We start from the raw sequence: 21,448 nt of genomic DNA, 5'->3' as shown, positions 1-21,448 counted from the left end.
TTGGGGAAATGTCAGACTTTTTAAAAAATGGTAGTGTGAATACAGTATCTTCATGCAAAAAAAAGAGAAGTAGGACCCTTATATCACACAGTGTATAAAAATTATCTCAATGTTTTAAAGACCTAAATGTAATCCTGAAACTATAAAATCCTGAGAAAAAACATAGGGGAAAAACATCACGTTATTGTATGTGCCGGCAATTTCTTCACTGTGACACCAAAAGCACAGGCAACAAAAACAAAAATGGGACTACATCAAACTGAAACGTTTGTGCCTTAAAAACAAAGGGGTGTGTAAAGGCAACCTACAGAATAGAATAAAATATTTACAAATCATATACCTATAAGGAGTTAATATCGGACTGTGTAAAGAACTCCTATATTTCCACATCTAAAAATCAAATATCCTGATTTTAAAAGGGGAAAAATACTTTAATAGATATTTATCCAAAGATGGTCTAGAAATGTTCACAAGGGCCGGGCGCAGTGGCTCATGCCTGTAATCCCAGCACTTTGGAAGGCCAAGGTGGGCAGATCACCTGAGGTCAAGGGTTCGAGACCAGCCTGTGCAACATGGTAAAACCCCATCTCTACTAAAAATACAAAAAATTAGCCGGGCATGATGGTGGGCACCTGTAATCCCAGCTACTTGGGAGGCCGAGTCAGGAGAAACACTTGAACTTGGGAGGCGGAGGTCACAGTGACCAGAGATTGTGCCACTGCACTCCAGCCTGGGCCACGAGAGCAAAACTCCATTTCAAAAAAAGAATAAAAGAAGTGTTCACAAGCATATGAAAACATACTCAACATTCTCTAATCTAGAAATGCAAATAAAAACTACAGTTGGGTATCACCTGATACCCACTACGATCATTGCTATCAAAAAAAATAGAAACTATTTTTGGCAAGGATGTAGACAAATTGGAAACGTACTGTTGTAGGAATTGTAAAATGGTGCAATCACTGTGGAAAATAGCTTGGAGGGTCCACAAAAAAATGAGAAATATAACTATCATGTGATACACCAATCTCATTTCTGCACGTATATATATAAAAAGTTTAAAGCTGGATTTTGAAGAGATACTTGCCCACCCATGTTCGTAGCCACACTTTTCACATTAACCAAGAAGTAGAAGCAGACCAAATGTTCATCCACAGATTTATGTATAAATAAAATGTTGTCTCTACATAAAATGGAAAATCGTTCAGCCTTAAAAAGGAAAGAAATCCTGTCACATGCTACAACATGGATGAACCTTGAGGACATTATGCTAAGTGAAATAAGCCAGTCACAAAAAGAAAAAATATGATTCCATTTGTTTGAGGTAAGTAAAGTTGTTAAATTCATATAAACAGAAAGTAGAACGTTGGTTACAAGTGGCTGGCATGAAGGGGAAAAGAGGAGCTCTTTAATGGGTATAGAGTTTGAGATTAGTGAGGTGAAAAAGTTTTGGAATTCTGTTCCACAACAGTGTGAATATACTAATGTGAAACAGTACTGAACTGAATGCTTAAAACTGTTAACATGGTAAACTCAGTGCAAAGCTTCAGTAATCAAGAGTTATGCTGATATAAAGCTCAACAGCTAGATCATTGCAGTATAATCAAGTGTCTAAAAATAATCCCATACATTTATGGTCTGTTGATTTCAAAAAGAGTTTCAAAACAATTTGGTGGGGGAAAAGTAGTCTTTCCAGTAAATGATGTCGTAACAACTGAATATCCACATGTAAAAGAATGAAGTTGAATCTCTGCTTTCTATCGTACAAAAATGAACTCAAAATGGGTCAAATATCTAAATATAAGAGCTAATGCTACAAAATTTTTTGGAGTAAATCTTTGTGATGTTGGATTAGGCAATGATTTCTTAGATATAAAATACACAAGTAAGAAAATAAAACACAGGTAAACTGGATTTCACCTAATTAAAACCTTTTGTGCTTCAAAGTGATAGGGACAAGAGGCAGGGAAATTCTGGGCAGAAGAGGATGGGTCCCCAGTGAGGGCTGCACCCTCAAGCTGAAAAGCCTGATGCGGTGGCCCAAAGTGAGAACTTACATCCCTGATTTCCTGTTCAAATGTTGCCTTTTCCAAAACCACCCATGGCCTGCTCTGCCCCCCATTCCTGTGCCCATAAAAGCCCCAGCCTCAGCCAGCAGAGAGAGGAGAAGCAGCTGGACATTGGAGACTACAGCTGGATGTCAGAGAGAAGTGGCTTGACTTCAGAGGGACAGTCTGACAGCATAACTTCTGAGAAGAATCTGGCCAGAGACAGCCAAACTTCAGTGGCATTTACCTTCCCACTCTGTCCCCTTTTCAGCTCCCCTTCCTGCTGAGAGCCACTTCCATCGGCAATAAAATTTCCTGCATTTACCATCCTCCAATTTGTTTGTGCAACCTCTTTTCTCCTGGATGCTGGTAAAGAGCTCAGGTGCCCCAAGTGTGGTTGCAAAAGGCTGTCACACTGACCCTTTGCCCTTGCTGGCAGAAGGCAGCCATCTCACCCAAAAAGGCAGAGGATCCACTGAGCTGTTAACACTTAAGCCATATGCAGACAGCCAAGCTAAAAGAGCACCCAAACACTTCCTCTGGGACTTCAGGGGTCACTGGCACCCCTCCCCAGATGTTGCTGCGGGACCAGTACAGAGTTCACTCCTGCTGGTGCCCGAAGGCATTTGCCCGAGCTGCCGTACCCACTCACCTGTTTGCTCCCTCCAGCAAGGGGTGGAACACAGCAGATTTGAGTGAGTGGAGTTGGCTGACTCCAGTGCTCATATACTCCCATATCTGCCCATGAAGGGGTCAGGGAAATATCCTGCTTCAAAAGGACATCATCAAGAAAGTGAAAGGAAAAAAATGAAAAGACCCACAGAATGGGAAAAGATATTTTTAAAGTACATATGTGATAAGAAAATTATATCTAGAATGTGTAAAGAAGTCTTACAACTGAATAATAAAAATATAAATATTCCAATAAGAAGGGAAAATAGGATTTTAACAGGCCTTTCTCTAAAGAAGACATGCAAATGGATAATTAGCACATGAAAAAAAGCTGAGGGTCATTAGTCATTAGGGAAATGCAAATCAAAACCATAGCATACCCGTTCATACCCATAACAATACCTAAAGTAAAAGGGACAGATGTTAGTGTCTGTGAGGTTGGAGGGAAACTGGAACCCTCATTCGCTGCTTGTGGGAATGTGAAATGGTGCAGCCACTTTGAAAATGAGTCTGGCAGTTCCTTAAATGAATAAACAAGATTACCATAGGACTCAATAATCCCACTCCTAAATATATGCCCAGGAGGAATGAAAACATGTTTACACAGAAACTTATACATGAATATTTATAGCAGCATTATTTATAATAGCCAAAAAAAGAAAATAGTCTAAACATTCATCAATTTATAAATGAAGAAACACAATTGGTATATCCATACAATGGAATGTTGTTTAGAAATAAAAGGACATTAAATACTGATTTATGCAACAACATGGATGAACTTGGAAAACATGTTAAGTAAAAGAAGCTAGTCATAAAAGGCTACATTTTATATGATTCCATTTATTTCACATGTCCTGAATAGGCAAATCTGTATAAAGAAAATGCAGATTTGTGCTTGCCAGGTGGTCCCTAGTGAGGGTGGTGGAAGAGATTTGGAGAATAACTGCTGGTGGGTATGGAGTTTCTTTAGGGAGTAAATGTTCTGAATGTAGATAGTGGTGGTGATTGCACACCTTTATTAAAAATCACTGAATTATATGGTTCGAAAGAATATACTGTGAATTGTATTTTAATAAAGATGATACTTTTTTAAAGTTATAGTAGTTGATGCTATCATCATGTAACAAAATTAACACACTTTTTTAAGAGAAAAATTTTCGTTTTTATACTCATATTTTAGTGTACTTTTACAAAGAAGTTTATTAATAACAATTTATTTAAAGCAGATAATGTTACAAGCAGTTGAATTTTGCAGATCACATATCAAAAAATAGTTTTGGTGATTAACTGATGACTAAATTAGACCTTCCTTTATTTTCATTTAAAGCAAAGAATTAAACACCACCTGACTTGGAAAAAGATTTGTTACCTAGTCATTATTTATTCATCTCCCCAGAACATATCTAAAAAGGTATTGCCAAGGTATATCATAATGACTGTTCATTGTATGTGTTATTTTTTTACCTTGAGACACCTTGTTTGACCTGATACAGTTGGAAAGGATTGGGAAAACTGAGTTATTGTCGTCTTCAGTATACTGTTGCAAAACAATATTTTTCATTAAAGTTCCTTTCTGTGCTTTAAACTAATTATCAACAAAATTTTTAAACTGCAGATTTAATTTATTTAACTTATGAGAAATATCTACTAAATAAGTTAGCTGACAAAGCCACTTCTGTCAAACCATTTTTTTCAGTGTTTCATACAAACTATGCATTCTTTGCTGATGAAAGAGGCAAGGTTTTTAACAACAACAACAAAAATGTCAGCACTGTCATTGTAACTATTTAGACAGCTTGAATGGGACGAATTGTTTTATTTTGTGAAACAGGAGAAGGGTGGCTGGGAAAGGGGAGGTGGGAAGTGATGACTCCTATGGCACACAGGTGTATGTTCTCAGGCAAATCTGTCTTTGAATTTGAGGTTGTGTATACATATTCCCTTAAAATGATGCCTGTGCGTCTTCTTGAAAGTCTTCCTCTGTTACCCGAGCTGGAATGCAGTGGCACAATTATGGCTCACTGTAACCTCAACATCCTGGGCTCAAGCGATCTTGCCCCTCAGCCTCCAGAGTAGCTGGGACTGCAAAGCACGTGCCTTCATACCCAGCTAATTTTCATATTGTTTCTAGAGAGGGATGTTACCCAGGCTAGTCTTGATCTCCCAGGCTCAAGTGATCCTCCTTCCTGGGCCTCCCAGGCAGTGTGGGATTATAGGCATGAGCCACCATGCCTGGCCTCCTTTATATTTATTTTTAATTATTTATTTATTTTTTGAACTGGACTCTCTCTCTGTCGCTCAGGCTGGAGTGCAGTGGCACAATCTTGGCTTACTGTAACCTCCACCTCCCGGGTTCAAGTGATTCTTCTGCCTCAGCCCCCTGAGTAGCTGGGATTACAGGCGCCCGCCATGACATCCGGCTATTTTTTTTTTTTTTTTTTTTTGTATTTTCAGTAGAGACAGGATTCTATTATGTTGGCCAGGCTGGTCTCAATCTCCTGACCTCAAGTGATCCGCCTGTCTCGGCCTCCCAAAGTGCTGGGATTATAGGTGTGAGCCACCGCGCCCGGCCTCTGCTACTTTTTAAAAGTCTATCTCCAGAAGTCTGCTTTCTCATTTTGAATACCGTAGGTATTCAAATGAATTCACTTTCAAATGAATTCACTAGGTGCTGTTCTACCCTTCTGTTAGCCTTTTACGAAAGAATAGCGTGACCTTGAAAAGCATACATTTATGCATAGTAGTAGTGTATGCAGGTATATTTATTTATTTGGTTGGTTGGTTTTTTTATTTTTTATTTATTTATCTGTTTTGAGACGGAGTCTTGCTCTTGTTTCCCAGGCTGGAGTGCAGTGGCACGATCTCTGCTCACTGCATCCTCCACCTCCCGGGTTCAAGCAGTTATTCTGCCTCAGCCTCCCAAGTAGCTGGAGTTACAGGCGGCCGCCACTGCACCCGGCTAATTTATGTATTTTTCAGTAGAGACGGGGTTTCACCATGTTGAGCAGGCTGGTCTAGAACTCCTGACCTCGTTATCTACCTGCCTCGGCCTCCGAAAGTGCTGGGATTACAGGCTTGAGCCACCGTGCCCGGTCACAGGTATATTACGATGTTGGTACACTTTGTATTCACTTGGACTACATTTTGCTAGAGATGATACCTGTGACACTTCTCTGTGCTCTGCGTTCCTCTCCTGCACTCGTAACAGATGTATCTTGCTGTCTATACGGAACCTAAAAATCCTCCACAGCTAGCAGCTTCTACTAGTTGTTTGGAACTAGAATAAGAGGTGATTCTCTGTGATAACAATTTTGTTAGTTTTCTTAGTTTGTTTATATCTTTGCTCTTTTTGTAGTTTGGATTTTCTAATTACTTTATTAATGCAATTTCCTTTTGTTAAACTTTATTGTCCTTAAACCAGCTTGGAGACGTGCTGGGAGATAATTTTCCATGGGTCTCACACTTTCCTGTACGTTTTGCGAACAGAGGCTGTGACTGCCTTTGTTCTTTTCTGTCTTTTCAAGATTATTTCTATATACAGTGAGTAGCTTTGGAAGATGCTGTAGTGACTTCACAGCAGCGGTCAGGTTTGCATATCTCCCTGGAAGGTAGAGCTGGTATCTCCCGCTAGTGCAAAGGGATAGGCGTATTTCCCATGATTAAAGATTCCAGCTCCTGAAGGTTAGGGTTTCTCTCCTATAATGCAACACACTGCATGTGCAGGTGGCCTGTGGCCCTATTCAGGTTGCTCTGTGACATTTGGGACTTGGGGAACTAGAGCCCAGTGGTCACAAGATAATGTTGATATTCTGGCTGCCCCTGTTAGTGTAAGTAATAAATACCTTGTCTCTCACCCAGGAGACTTCTTTCCTCTGCCAGCATTTTATTAGCTTGTGACAGGCTAACTTGTTAGTTTGAAAGTAGTGTAAATCTCAGATCCTTCACAGGTCTTGATAGTATGTAGGTAACACAAATAAATGCATAAACAGCTGAGTTCAGCTCAGAAATGTCCGTTTTTACCCATGTTTTTCATTAAAAACTGTATTATATATTGTATAAATGTAGCGTCGGTTTTTCAAGTTTTTTTCTACATTATAATAAGTTTTTGGTATAAGTTTGCTATTTATATTTAATGAGAATTTTAAAAGCATAATAAACCATGTTTTTAGTGCAGTAAAATTGTATGTATGTGTATATAAACCTGTGGTTGCTTTGTTTTTGTTTTTTGAGATACAGTTGCACTCTGTCACCCAGGCTGGAGTGTAGTAGTGCAGTCTCGACTCACTGCAACCTCTGCCTCCTGGGTTCAAGTGATTCTCATGCCTCAACCTCCCGAGTAGCTAGGACTACAGGCGCCTGCCACCACGCCTGGCTAAATTTTGTATTTTTAGTAGAGACAGCATTTTGCCATGTTGGCCAGGCTGGTCTCAAACTCTTGACCTCAAGTAATCCACGCACCTCAGCCTCCCAAAGTGCTGGGATTACAGACATGAGTCAGGAGCCACTGTGCCCAGCCCTGTATTTGTAAATAGATGTCTAGTTATGTTATTTGTTTGTTTGTTTGTCTGTTTTTTGTTTTTGGTTTTTTTTTTTGAGATGGAGTCTCGCTCTGTCACCCACGCTGGAGTGCAGTGGCACCATCTCCGCTCGCTGCAACCTCTGCCTCCCGGGTTCAAGCGATTCTCCTGCCTCAGCCTCCCGAGTAGCTGAGACTACAGGTGCATGCCACCATGCCAAACTAATTCTTTGTATTTTTAGTAGAGACGGGGTTTTTACTAAACATGTTAGTAGTGGACGGGCTTTCTGCTAAACATAGCCCGGTTAGCCAGGATGGTCTCTATCTCCTGACCTCGTGATCCACCCACCTCGGCCTCCCAAAGTGTGGAAGTTACAGGCGTGAGCCACCGCACCTGGCCTAGTTATGTTTTTAGAAACAAATTATTGGTCTGCCTCATCATATATTTATGAATCAGTCTTAATTCCATGAATGTCATAGTGATGTACTGTTTGCCTCTGTTTCAGAATATTGGAAAGAAGATGACCTGTCAGGAGTTCATTGCAAATCTGCAAGGGGTAAATGAGGGTGTTGATTTCTCCAAGGATCTGCTGAAAGTAAGCATGGAACTATTGGTTTTTAGTGTATGCTTGTATTTCTGTTTGCTGCTTACAGCTTAATCCTAAGTAGGCTAAGGATCACTTAAGTATTTTGCTTTTTGCTTTTGGTTTTATTGGTGATGTTTCTTTTAAGCCTTGTCCTTGATTTTTCGTGCTGCAAAGTACCTTAAGTTGATAATTTCTAGAAGTCTGCATTATAATCAATAATACTGAGGTAAGTAAATTTGGAATGGTTGGTGATACAAATAGTGAGTGGCAGTTTTTGTTCGATTTATTTGTAAATAGACTATCAGAATTTAAGAAAGATCCCAAAGGTATATGCACTACGGAAACAGAGTAGCATTTGCAGGCTATAATGGAAACAGTTCCAACTGTGTTCAATCCCTAGTCTCAGAGCCACTCATGTTGTCTCTGGAAATAGATTAAATTAAATTCTCAGTAATTGTAGAATGCCTGAATTATTTGCATTTGGCTTTATTATTGGTAACATCAGCATGATGTTTTTCCCCCTCATCAGATTGTTTTCAAGGAGACAACAAAATCAACTTTGGAATTCATGCATTCTCCAGCATTGTAAATGAGATGGGCATTTGATTGAGTACAAAATAATGATAATATGAGTATTTGGGGGGTTGTAGGGTAAGATTGTATACATTGAGAATGTGGTTTTTACAGTTGTCTTTTTGATTCTAGCCTTTTAAAAAACAGTACACGTATAGGTTTCTTTTGGAATCAATTTCTTTAAATGAATTTTCAAGAAAGGTGACATTTGAATCAGCTATGGTATGGAAATGTATGATATGATATGGAAATGTTGAAAGAGAAGTCCTTTGTTGTGTTTTATGTAACCTTTAAGCTACATAGAATAGAGTTCTGCCAGATTTGGAAAGACTTATCTACTATGGTAAATGAAAGAAGGCATTACGATGTGGTATTACGACATTCTTAGTCTTACTAACTTTATTTGCAGCACATTACAAGAAATTATGAAAAAAAAATCAGGAAGAAAAGTAGCTTTAATTTATGGAGTAAAGAAGGCATTTTCTTTAGGTCCTTTGTACAGCAAGTGCTGCCATTTCTAAAGGTATAAATCCAAATGGGAGCGGGAGATAAATGGTGCAGGATTGTGACGTGATAAAGATGTTTTACATCTTCCATTGAATCCGTATGGTGTTAACAAGACTTTTTTCAGTCTAGTGATATTTGCATGGAAAATTATGGAGTCTCTCTAAGAGAGGATTTGTGAGGCTTTTATCAACTTATGTCAGAAATGAAAGTTGACAGGAAAATTTTCATAGTGAAGCTTTTAGAATTTAGTGGTAGGCTTATGGTAACCTGCATGACGGTTGGCAAATTATTGGCTAATTTAGAGCATGTTTGGCGGAGCTGTATGAAACCGTGTATGGTTAATATACAGTCCAGAGGCTACTGTTCACCTTGAGTAAACGTGTTCTTTGACTTCCTCTACCAAGAATTTGCCAGATGATTTGTTGCTGTTGTGCAATGAGATTATGTTTATAAACCTCATGGGAAAGTATGTATTATTTGTTTTTTTGTTGTGAGAAGATGATAGTGAAATGATACCGAAAATGGTGGTGGTTAGCATGGTAATTGTCAAGTGAAGTATTGATTCTCTTCCATAACAAACCCCAGCCGCTCACCCACCCAAGATAGTTTTCCATTTCAGTAGGAATGGGTTTTACTGAAAATTTCAGTAAGAAAAGGTTTTCTTTAAACCACGTTGGTTTCATTCCTCTATTCTGTGTGCTGTTCGGTTTTCCTTCCCTTTCCTCCCTTTCTTCCTGCCTTCCTTTTCTCCTGGTTTCTTTTTATTTCTGTCTTTTACTTTCTCTTTGGCTTTCTATTTTTCTTTTGGTGTCTTTTTTTCTCATTCTCTTTCTCTTAGAATAGCTGTCGCTGGATTCCCTGCTGAGATAAATTATTGGGTGGAGTATATACTTGAATTCTGGGGGAAAATATTGTTACATATGTGCTACACAGATACATACATACATAGAAACTTTTCAAAATTTGGTGTCATCTTACAGGTTTTTAATATCATGGTCATTCTCTCTTTCTTTGCCACCTTTCCAATCTCCATGTTACAGGCATGTGTGACATTAAGTTTTTTTTGTGTGAAATAAAAGGAAAAATTATGACCTTTATTAGGTTTCCTCATAATCATATATAGAAACTGCTAGATTCAATATTAAAAAAGCTTAAAGTTACATAAACTGAGGCTTTTATTGTTACGTATTGACCTTGATACTTTTAGATTAATTTGGTTCAAAAGTAACATTTGGATTTATGTCTGTTCAGATTTCTTTGGCCCAGAAGTAACATTTGTACTTGAATGTCTGTTGTTCCATGTCATTTTGTAGCTGGAAACATTTATTAAAGGTCTGCTGTGTGTTTACTAGGTGTTGTGGGATTGGAGAAGATGCTGAAACCAAATGGGCACCTGTCCTCAGAGATCACAGACTACTGAGAAATATTGGAGGTGTCTTTCTCCATAAAATAAACAGTTATTCCATGTTGAAATAAAAGTATAAGCCAAATTCTGTTTTTTTGTTGTTGTAGTTGTTTTCTGAAGAGAAAGGGTTAAGAAAAAATAGACCTTGACATATTTAAATGTGTGAGAAATGAGAAGCTTGTGTACAGTCCTTCAATTCAGTTGATTTAATTAATATTTTGCTTCTGAATTTGCCTTATACTGTATTGAAGGGATAGATGATACATTGAGCCCTTTTTTTAGTTTAAAATTCCATTGCAGCTTTCGTTGTTTACTCAAATAACCTAAACCGATATTTGACATTTTTTCCCCTACAGGGTGTTTACAGTGTAAGATATGGATATGTGTAATAAAAGTGAAATAAGTTGGATATCAGAAGACAACCAGTGATAGCATATTACTTAGGTTCTTCAAAGCAGAAGGCTGGGAGGAGGTGATGTTTGAGATGGTGTATTAGTCCATTCTCCCACTGCTGCAAACAAATACCTGATACTGAGTAATTCATAAAGAACAGAGGTTTATTTTGATCATGGTTCTGCGGGCTGTACAGAAAGCCTGATGCTGGCATCTGCTTGGCTTCTAGGGAGGCCTCAGGAAACCTAAAATCGTGGCAGAAGGGGAGGCAGGCACATCTTAAGTGGCCGGAGCAGGAGGAAGAGAGGAAGGAAGGAGATGCTGCACACTGTTAAATAACCATAGCTCAGGAGAGCTCACTCGTCATCATGAGAACAGCACCAAGGGGACAGTGCTAACCCATTCATGAGAGCTCCGCCCTCCTGATCCAATCACCTCCCAACAGACCCCACATCCAGTACTACGGATTATTATTCAACATGAGTTTTGGTGGGGACACAAACCATGTCAGATGGCCTTTTGAAGTATAGGTAAAAGACTTGTTATCTTGGTTATTATTCCATTGCATTTCCTGCCCCTTCTTTCACCCAAAGACATTCTCATATTTACCCCTCTCAACTACATGACCAAATCAAGACAGTCATTCATATAACAAAATAGGCCAGATCATCTGGTATGATTCACATAGTACAGATAAACACAGAAAAATTTGCTACTGTCTTACAAGTTTCTGATTAACCCTGTGATCATGTTTCTACTGGCTCCACCCATCCCAGCGGTTGGATGTGGTTTGTATTCAAGCATCCTTGGGGACAATGGAAGAGAAAGGGGAGGTTCTGCTTTGGGTCTGATAGATTTTGTAAAACATTCGTAAGGCTCTAATAAGTATTACAGGTACTAACGACGTGAATAAAGAGGGATAAGAATGTAGAATGCAGGCTAGCTCTGTATTGTAGGCTGTGTTTTGAGAGACAGTACGGTATGAGGATTGAGATTATGATTTGAGAACTGTACTGACTGGGTTCTAATACCAGGTTCTGTCTCTTAATAGTCAGGGGACTACGTCAAGTAAATAGTGTATTTCAATATCCTCATCTATAAAATGGGAGATTTTAGAGTCCTCACATATAGTAAGTATTGTCTGTTAGCTATTAAAACTTTTTATTTTTGATATTATTTTACTTAGCCTAAAGTGGGCTGGAAGGACCCTATCCCTTCCTGCAGGTATCTGGTTTTAAGACTTTTTAGAGGCGAGTGAGATTAGCGGCAGTAGTCAAAACCTCTACCCACCATCCCTTTTTAGCTTGCTGCTTTCCAAAGATACATAGCCTCTGCTCTTTGAAAGGAAGCACCTGTGACGTTGACTGAAAATGAATCTTGCTTAACCCTTACCTTTTTACCTTGTTAACAGCCTCTTTCTCCTGGGCCTATCCTTCTTCCCACATTTTTAAACCTGACGTTTGATTTGCGTTTTTAGTGACTTCCCTCTTTGATGCTACAAGAGGGGAAGTACTAGGGTGCATTGGCTCTTGAACTGGTCCTGGAATCTTGAAGAACCTTTGAGGAAGCAAACTAGTTCATATTCTGCTAAGATCCCAAGATTATCCTGGAATATTGATGGAGATGTGAATTACTTGAAGTGATTAAAACATCCCTGGGGGAGACAAGGGTTGCTAGAGATGTGCCTTCCTAATGGAGAGGCGTTGGTCTGAAGGATCAGGTCCAGGAATTGTTGGGATTCTGCTTTGTCTCGGGGCAATTTTTATGGACTCTTGACTGTGTCAGCCTGGGGACTTCTTTCACCCAGTCTTATCAGCGGCTGATACCAACTAGTGAAGTGTTAGCTTTTGATTATGTGCATATTTCTGAAACTCTTCACTCTGTAGAATAACCTTTGAAAATTCATAACAGCCCAGATACGGAATCATCCTAAATGTTCATCAGCAGACGAATGGATAAAATGTGGTAGATATGCACAGTGGAATATTATTTGGCCTTAAAAAGGAGGAATTCTGTCATTTGTGACATCGATAAATCTGGAGGACGTTTCACTAAATGAAATAAGCCAGGCACAGAAAGACAAATACCGCATGATCTCACTTACAGTGGAATCTAAAAAAGTTGATCTCACAGATTCATGGAGTTAAATGGTGGTTACCAGGGGTCTGGGGATGGTGGGGATTTAAACAAAGGGTACAATTTCCTTTCGACTATATAAATAAATCATAGAGCTTTGTTGTATAGCATGGTGACTATAGTTAATAACATCATATTGTTTGTTTGAAAAATACTAGGAGAATAGATTTTGAATGTTCTCATCACAAAACAGTATGTGAGGTGAGAAATAGGTTAATTAGCTTTATTTAATCATTGTACAGTATGTATGTGTACTCAAAATACTGCATTGTGCACCACAAATATATACTTTTCATTTGTCAATTAAAACATTTAAAAATAAGAATTTTCTTGAAAGTTCCTCTATCTTAATGTTCAAAATGCAGTGTCTTGATCCTCTGCATTTCTGTTCCCTGAATTTTATTTCTACTGAGTTTCTTAGGAAACCCTTGTTCTTGTTTGTAACAGAAAAGCTGCGTTTCTATCTTCTATCGAATCTGCTCTGCATTTCTAACTCTGGTGGTTGATAATTGTCCATTTCTCATTATATACAGAAAAGACACAGGGCCTTTCAGTGATGGTCACCAGGTATTTATATATTTAGAGATGAATTGTCCATTTGAAAATGTATTTACATGAAAGAAGGGAAGAAACTGAGAAATAAATGACAAGAAGATCCTGGCAAATGGTCTAGGAACATAAAGGGTGGAAGGTCAGTTATTGGCCGTCCCATAATTTCATTCTGAAGAGACATCTAGACTGTAGATTTTGATATGACATGAACCCAATTGTTTTCTATCCCACTTTCCCATTGCCATCTACCATTTAATACTCTGATACTGCTCTCCTTAGTATTTTTATTCCAGTCATTGTTAGATCTTTATTTCTTTTTTGAGCAGCAGTTAAATTCAGTAAGTACCAAGGGAGAGTAGAAAGAAATTAGCTGAAACAGTCTCTCCTTTAAAAATTTTTATACCAACTTATTGATGGAAAGAACAGAAACAACAAAACAAAATGTTCCAAATATTTGTGATAAAACTGAACACAATTTGCAGAATGTTTAAAAACATACCTTGAATGTATTTAAATACACAAGTAGGTCTAAGAATAATTCTAGTTAGAAGACAGTGTCACTGGAAATCATTTAAAAACGTAGGGAAATAAATCTTACAGATACCAATCAATATGACAGTCTTTTAGGTTATTGCTTGCTATTAGATGTTTGACATTAGAATATTCTTTAAATTTTTAAGTTTTTTTATAGAAATTGCTTTACTTGGGAATTTATGAACTTTGAAATTAGCACGTCTTCCCTTAAGGGAAGAGCAAAAGTTTTAATGTGGAAGAAAGAGAGAGAGAGAGAGAGAGAGAGTGTGTGTGTGTGTGAAGAATGGGTTAAATTGAAAGGATGTAAATCAGTATGCTTGGCCTAGCAGGATTTATAAGCTTCACTCCATGAATGGAGTGATAAAAAAACAGTGAATTAAATTGTTACATAGTCTGTTGGTTAGAATTTTAATGAAAGTTGTCATTCAAATACATTTGTTTTCCCTTGCTTTCTCAAAGGACAGAGTTTAGGCAAGATTCTCTTAGGAGACAGTTCCAAGAATATGTAGGATACCTCCATCCCGTTTTTAACCTATCTTGTCAGCTGAAAGGATTATATATGTTGTTTTAAACATAATTTTCTCATTTGGTTTTCTTAAGGAAAAATAATTTGTGAAAATGATGGAGTAATTAGCCAAGAAGGTAGAATTTAAACAGACTCAAAAGATCAGCAAAGATAAAACACATTTTAAATAAAGATTAATGCATCTTTTTGGATAAGGAAGAAACATAATTAGAAAATATAAAGTGAGGCTCTCAGATTTGTAACCATTAGGCTTTTTAATCAGTTACAGCTGTATATAAGGGTAAAGAACAACAGATGAATCAGCCATTAAAAATCTAGAGATAAGCCATTTTTGTAAGTTCAAACCCCAAAAAGGATCTGTTCACACGGAGTGACAGCAAAAGCTGTAATGATTCTTCTTAAAAAAAAAAAAAAAAAGAGTAAAACTGACCCATCTCTCTTTCTGAGTTCCATCTACCCCTTTCAGCCAGGGAGAAGATTGGAAATTTAACACTGACAATTGCCCTACTTTTCAATATTTTCTACCAGAAGGCTTAACCTAAGCAACATGAAGTCTTTTTTCCCTATTTGATCTTCCCACTCTCATTGTTGCTCTCTCCTCTCTCATCTTTACTTCCTGATTATCGCTGAGTACAAGTATAGCTGGAGACATCAGAATAAGACTAGGTTTTATTAATGTCAACATTCTGGTTTGTGCTATCATACTATAGTTTTGCAGATGTTACCATTGGAGGATACTGGGTAAATGGCACAAGGACTCTGTTCTTTTCTTACAACTGCCTGTGAATTTGTAATTCTGTCAGTAAAACAATGACAAAAATAATGGACAAGTCCACTCTAAAAAAAAAAATGGGGCAGTTTGTCTATTCAGCCAGAGGTTTTAGGCATCATATAAAAATAGGCTTAATGAAATTTTACTACTCTTGGTCATTCTTTTAAAGTACTGAGTACAGTGTAATGACCAACAGTTCAGAAATAACTATATAACAGTATTAAAAACACTGACGTTTTAAGAAAAAGACAATGGGAATTGTTTTGAAGAATTGAAAACTGGAAAGTAACATGATCCTATGTTTATTGTCATGTTTTACTCTGGATATTTGAAGAATTGTTTAGGAAAGTGGAAGTGGAAAGATGGTAAAATCGCAATTGTCTATGTGAGAAGGATGGTGGCTCGGATGCTGGTGGTGACAGTATTGAAGGAAATATATTAAGTATTGAATTATTTAGAGCTTCCTATTAGAGATTCTGCTGGTAGACTGGTTTCCTCATTGCCCCTTTGTCCCTTACCTGAACGAAGTAGAAAAGAAACAAAGAGTAGAATCTGAATTTTCTCTACGCAGTTAATGTTTGTTTGTTTGTTTGTTTGCAACGGAGTCTTGCCTTGTTGCCCAGGCTGGAATGCAGTGGCATGATCTCTGCTCACTGCAACCTCCGCCTCCTGGGTTCAAGTGATTCTCCTGACACAGCCTCCCGAGTAGCTGGGATTACAGGCATCCACCACCACGCCCAGCTAATTTTTTTTTTTTTTTTGTATTTTTGGTAGAGACAGGGTTTTACCATGTTGGCAAGGCTGGTCTTGAACTCCTGACCTCAAATGATCCACCCACCTCGGCCTCCCAAAGTGCTGGGATTCCAGGCGTGAGCCACCGCGTCCAGATCCCAGTTAATGTTTATTTGGCCTGTTAGGCTGAATGTCATGGAAGGCTGTGTGGCAGAGTAAAATGAGTAGTTACAGATCTGGAAAGTAATCCCAATATCTTACCTTGGCCAAGCAACTTAATCCTTTTCAGTTTTCTCAGGTACGGCATGGGATAAAAACACCTTCCTCTAAGAGCGGTTAGGAGAATTAAATATGATGAGGTGTGTTAAGTGGCTAGCAGTGTGCCCGTGTGGAATGCACTAGTTGTTCTGACTGGGTTATGGAAGTCGCTGGGCTCTAAGCCTGTCTTAGTGTTGCTAGTGACTAGTGGTGGCGCCTCCGGGTGATCATTTCACTTTGTGCCTGAGTTTCCTCATTTGTAAAATAAGATATTTGGCCTGTGCCTATGGTTTTCAGGTTTTCGGTTTAGGCTTCTGGAGCCTGTGTCCAGTGTTCACTCCTCCCTGTCACCGCTCCCCTTCTGCTCCAGAAGTTGTTCTCTTTTTCTGTCATGTTCTAACTTCCTCTGGTGATGTCTTTTGAGCAAAATATTATGTGGCAAAAAAGAAATTGGAACAACTTCACAGGGTGATCTTGTAAGGATCGTTTCAGTCTAAGTGCTGGGCATTTTCTTAACGTCATTTTGAATCCAAATCGCATTTCTAAAGTGTTAACTCTCTTAGCTCTCACCTTGTATTTACTGGTTTAGACAAAGAAGTGTATACTTAATAATGAAACCAGAGAATGTTCAGATTTAAATCCAAGAAAATTGCTTTTGTCATTGCAGCATTTTCAAAAGATTATTCCCAAAGGACTACACAAGAGGAAGAAGCAGACCTCAGTCAGAAAAAGGTCTGAACTTTTTATAAAGGAAAAGCCTGAACTGAATTCTCAAAAATACTTGATCTGAGTTATATTCGGAGTATGTAGTTGAAAATAGGAACTTATGGGTGGTATTTAAGTGTAGCTAAAAAAAGAGCATCAACTGTTGCCTAGAGTAGGTGAGTTCTTTCCAAGAGAAGGTCATGGAAACCTGGTAGCAACAGTATCCATGGAGGAAGAGGGCTTGGATGCCTGTCCTGTGTAAGTCGGAGAGCCTTTTAAGAGAAAAGCTAGGTTTGCAAGCTTTTTAAGAGAAAAGCTTTAAAGGTTCTGGCTTAAAATATGGAATATTGCTGCTTTTTTCAGTAAAGTAAATCAAGCTGAGTTAGGTGATGAAAGGTGCGTGGCGTGTTTCCGCTTCTGCCCTCCCCGTGGAGGTCTGGCAGCCTGCTTTCGCTTTCGATCACGTGCTCATCATGGGCAGAATAATGATGCTGCTTTTGGTGTGGTTCAGACCATGAATGAAAAATGGTGACGATAATGAGGGTAATATTTGAAGTAACTGAAGATCCACAAATCATGTTCATGTGTTTTCTTAAAAAAAAAAAAAAATTACCAAAAAGAAGTCTGTTACAATGTTTTAACAGAACAGATGCTGCTTAAGAGTACAAACAGATTTTTAACCCCCAAAAAAAGAAAAAAGGAAAAAAGTTTGAGTGGTGGTGGTTGTAATCATTAAGGGTACTGTAATGGAATATTAATGATTCCCAGTGGGAATTTATATTGAAATTTATTTTCAATTTGATCATGAAGAAGTGCTACAGAATTTCCTATTCAGATGCATCCATAGACGTTTGAATGTTTGTATGTTTGGAGCATTTTTATGTTATGTTATGTTATGTTATGTTATGTTATGTTATGTTATGTTATGTTATGTTGAGACAGGGTCTCACTCTGTTGCCCAGGCAGGAGTGCAGTGGTACAATCTCGGCTCACTGCAACCTCTACCTCCTAGGTTCAGGCGATTCTCCTGCTTCAGCCTCCCAAGTAGCTGAGATTACAGGCGCGTGCCACCACGCCTGGCTAATTTTTGTATTTTTAGTAGGGACAGGGGTTTCACCATGTTGACCAGGCTGGTCTCGAACTCCTAGCCTCAAGTGATCCGCCCACCATGGCCTCCCAAAGTACTGGGATTACAGGCTTGAGCTGCTGCACCCGGCCTTGTTTGGAGCATGTTTAAAGTGTCATAACAGTCCAAGATTGCTGCCCCTCTCACTAACATGAGCATGTATTATTGATATGAATGTAACTGGTCACATCATGAATAAAAGCTATCCTCTTTTTGCTTATGATATGTCAGGAGACTGAGGAGCTCCTTGGGATGATTGATGCCCTCCTTTCAGCAGACCAGCAATGCAAGGATAAGTGGAACTACCATGGCAAATATTCTATCCTGAACATGGTATTTACTTAGCCAATAAGGATACAGAAAAACAAATTTTATTTTAAAGGCATTTATAATTATATAGTCAAAATATCCCATAAAGGAAAACAGTGTGTTGTTATAGTAATGCTTCACTTAGCTAAAGGTCAATCTTTTTTTAAAATGACTAAAAAAAGTGAAAACAAGCAAAAAAATAAAAATAACTCTCAACAGCCAGAATAATTACAGAGTCCATGTATTAATAACTGACCTCACAAATTTCACACAACCTGTATTTAGATCCTGTTTTTAATAATACCCACAATTAGTTTTCACTTTGAAATTTTTGACCTGATCCTCCCCCTGGCATATCATAATCTTGGGCCTGTAGACACAGGCAAATACCAGCATACAAGTTACTGCTGACTATCACCGAGCCAGCTGTTCGTGGGCAAGTTAATAGCCAAATCCAACTGATTTTAATAAGATGAATTTAATAGAACACAGACATTTAGGTTATTACATAAATTTTTAAGTGGAAATTATTCATTTATTAATTTTGAGATGGAGTCTCACCCTGTCGCCCAGGCTGGAATGCAGTGGCGTGATCTCAGCTCACCGCAACCTGTGCCTCCCAGGTTCAAGTGATTCCCCTGTCTTAGCCTCCCGAGTAGTTGGGATTACAGGCATCCGCCACCACGCCCTCCTAATTTTTGTATTTTTAGTAGAGACAGGGTTTCACCATATTGGTCAGGCTGATCCGGAACTCCTGACCTCAGGTAATCCACCCACCTCGGCTTCCCAAAGTGGTGGGATTACAGGCGTGAGCCACCGCACCTGGCCTAAATTGAAATTATTTTAAAGAAACAATTGTTTTCTCAGTTTGGCCATGAATTAGAAGAATGGAGTTCAAGGAAGTGATGTTCCTCAGATAGAGGGGCAGTAGCAAGAAGTGATTTGCTAATGAGGTAAAGAGAAAATGTTGCAACCTTAAAGGGCACTAGGTCTCCAAATGGTACATCTGGAGTTGTTTTGAAGAGAGGCAGTCAAATCTGTGTCGTCAGTAGCCTCTCAGAATGGCTGCATTACAGCACTGCAAAGTAATGGATGTACTTAGTGAGTCATCAAAAATGTTACATTTTGTTTACTTGGTTTGATTAAGGAGACAGGGAGTGTGAAATAGATTGGAAAGATTGCCAGTAAAACTATCTTATAAAGATTTTTTGGCATTTAAAGAAATTACCTTCAATCAGAAAATGCGCTAATGTAGGATAATTCATTTCTCTATCTAAAACCATTCTTGAACTCTGTTCCCTGTCAATGTTGGATTTTTACTGTTATTTAAAACATTTTATTTGCTTGTTTTAATTGTTTTAACATTTACTCTTCCCTTAAACTTTCCATAGATAGCAGCATAGTTTTTGTGCTAAATTGTTGTTTTTGCAGAAACGCCAGAAGCCACATTATCCAGATCTTGCAAGGAAGTATTTTCTGGATAATGCAGGTACATGAACTTTCCTCTTCACAACATACCATCTTGTCAGAGGGAGTTCACACATTCTTTTCTTTTGTGTGGATTTTTTTTTTTTTGGAGTTGGAGTCTCGCTCTGTCCCCTAGGCTGGAGTACAGTGGCATGATCTCGGCTCACTGCAACTTCCACCTCCTGGGTTCGAGTGATTCTCCTGCCTTAACCTCCTGAGTAGCTGGGACTAAGGCGCACGCTACCACACCTGACTAATTTTTGTATGTTTAGTAGAGATGGGATTTCACCATATTGGCCAGGCTGGTCTCAAGCTCCTGACCTCGTGATCCACCTGCCTCGGCTTCCCAGAGTGCTGGGATTACAGGCGTGAACCACCATGCTCATCATCACCCCAGACTGTTGAGAAAAATCCTGATACCTTCACACTTTTTCCCAGAAAAAAATGAACTTACCCTGTTCATTTGGAAACCACTGCCATTTGTAAAAGATCACAGAGGGAAGTGAATTCCTGCTCCTGGAGCAAATCATGTCACGATGAGGTTACCTATTCTAAAAGCAATCAAAAGCAATTATTCCTTGAGAATGCAAGACAGGTACATTGTTACTCTTTTTGCCTCATTTCCATGCTCTTTCTTTCACTCCCAAAAACAGCAATGAAAGGCAAATATGTATACTCAAAATCGTATCTCGAAAGGTTATTTGCATTTCAGGTTGTTTGTCATACAGTATAGACTTAGACAAAAATATATATATATTATATATTATATCATATATGATTATATATTTGATATATATCAAATATAATATATTATATATATTATATATATTATATATAATATATATTATATGTATTATATATAATATATAATATATAATATATATAATTATATATATAATATATATAATTATATATAATATATATAATATATAATTATATATATTACATATATTATATATATTATATATATTATATATATAATAATATATATATTTGAAAAGTTAGGGATTTTGAGAACTTACTGATTAGATGGTGGTATTGCTTATCACTTGCATTTGATCTCCTTCCTTCCAGTATTCTTAAGGACAAGAGACCCTCCTGTTGGCCACAGTATGCCTCATACCTAGTGTAATTCTTAGAACAGATCAGATACTCAACAAATACTCATTAAAGAAATAATTTCAGTTTTCCGTAAAACACAGTGTCAGTGATTCTGCATGTACAACTTGATATTGTATGTAGAATTGTTAATGTGTGTAAGTATATGCATAATTTTTTATTTTTTGAGAGAGAGGAGCTATACCTATGATCAGATATTCAGATGGTTGCTCACTGCAACCTCCGCCTCCTGGGTTCAAGTGATTCTCCTGACACAGCCTCCCGAGTAGCTGGGATTACAGGCATCCACCACCACGCCCAGCTAATTTTTTTTTTTTTTTTATGTATTTTTAGTAGAGACAGGGTTTTACCATGTTGGCAAGGCTGGTCTTGAACTCCTGACCTCAAATGATCCACCCACCTCGGCCTCCCAAAGTGCTGGGATTCCAGGCGTGAGCCACCGCGTCCAGATCCCAGTTAATGTTTATTTGGCCTGTTAGGCTGAATGTCATGGAAGGCTGTGTGGCAG

General features: G+C 38.3%; 1 protein-coding gene across 29 annotated transcripts in view, besides 2 other annotated features; it reads left to right on the top strand.

Annotated features, from left to right (window-relative positions):
• Window positions 1-21,448, top strand: part of PSD3 (pleckstrin and Sec7 domain containing 3) — a 557,503-nt gene that overhangs the window by 311,522 nt on the left and 224,533 nt on the right. For 19 of the 29 annotated variants that reach the window (NM_001412865.1, NM_001412866.1, NM_001412871.1 and 16 more), the window contains one exon: window positions 7,746-7,835. The exons of 2 other annotated variants lie outside the window; for them this stretch is intronic. In NM_001412865.1, coding sequence (NP_001399794.1) covers window positions 7,746-7,835 — 90 coding nt within the window. Of the gene's footprint in view, window positions 1-7,745; window positions 7,836-10,258; window positions 10,397-10,933; window positions 13,163-21,448 lie in introns of those variants that run through there. 8 more of the 29 variants (NM_001412868.1, NM_001412877.1, NM_001412887.1 and 5 more) reach the window with 2 other exon arrangements.
• Window positions 2,531-2,825: a silencer, noted in NCBI's record as "tiled region #772; K562 Repressive non-DNase unmatched - State 24:Quies". NCBI's record gives its function as "represses a minimal TATA promoter and a strong SV40 promoter by Sharpr-MPRA in K562 cells {active_cell/tissue: K562}" and the evidence as "EXISTENCE:reporter gene assay evidence [ECO:0000049][PMID:27701403]".
• Window positions 5,392-6,202: an enhancer, noted in NCBI's record as "H3K27ac hESC enhancer chr8:18624592-18625402 (GRCh37/hg19 assembly coordinates)". NCBI's record gives its function as "activates a minimal SCP1, AML or CMV promoter by ChIP-STARR-seq in naive H9 embryonic stem cells {active_cell/tissue: H9 hESC(naive)}" and the evidence as "EXISTENCE:reporter gene assay evidence [ECO:0000049][PMID:30033119]".

Source organism: Homo sapiens, chromosome 8 (genome assembly GCF_000001405.40).
Source record: "Homo sapiens chromosome 8, GRCh38.p14 Primary Assembly".
Lineage (NCBI taxonomy): Eukaryota > Metazoa > Chordata > Mammalia > Primates > Hominidae > Homo > Homo sapiens.
This window is presented reverse-complemented; position numbering and strand designations above follow the sequence as displayed.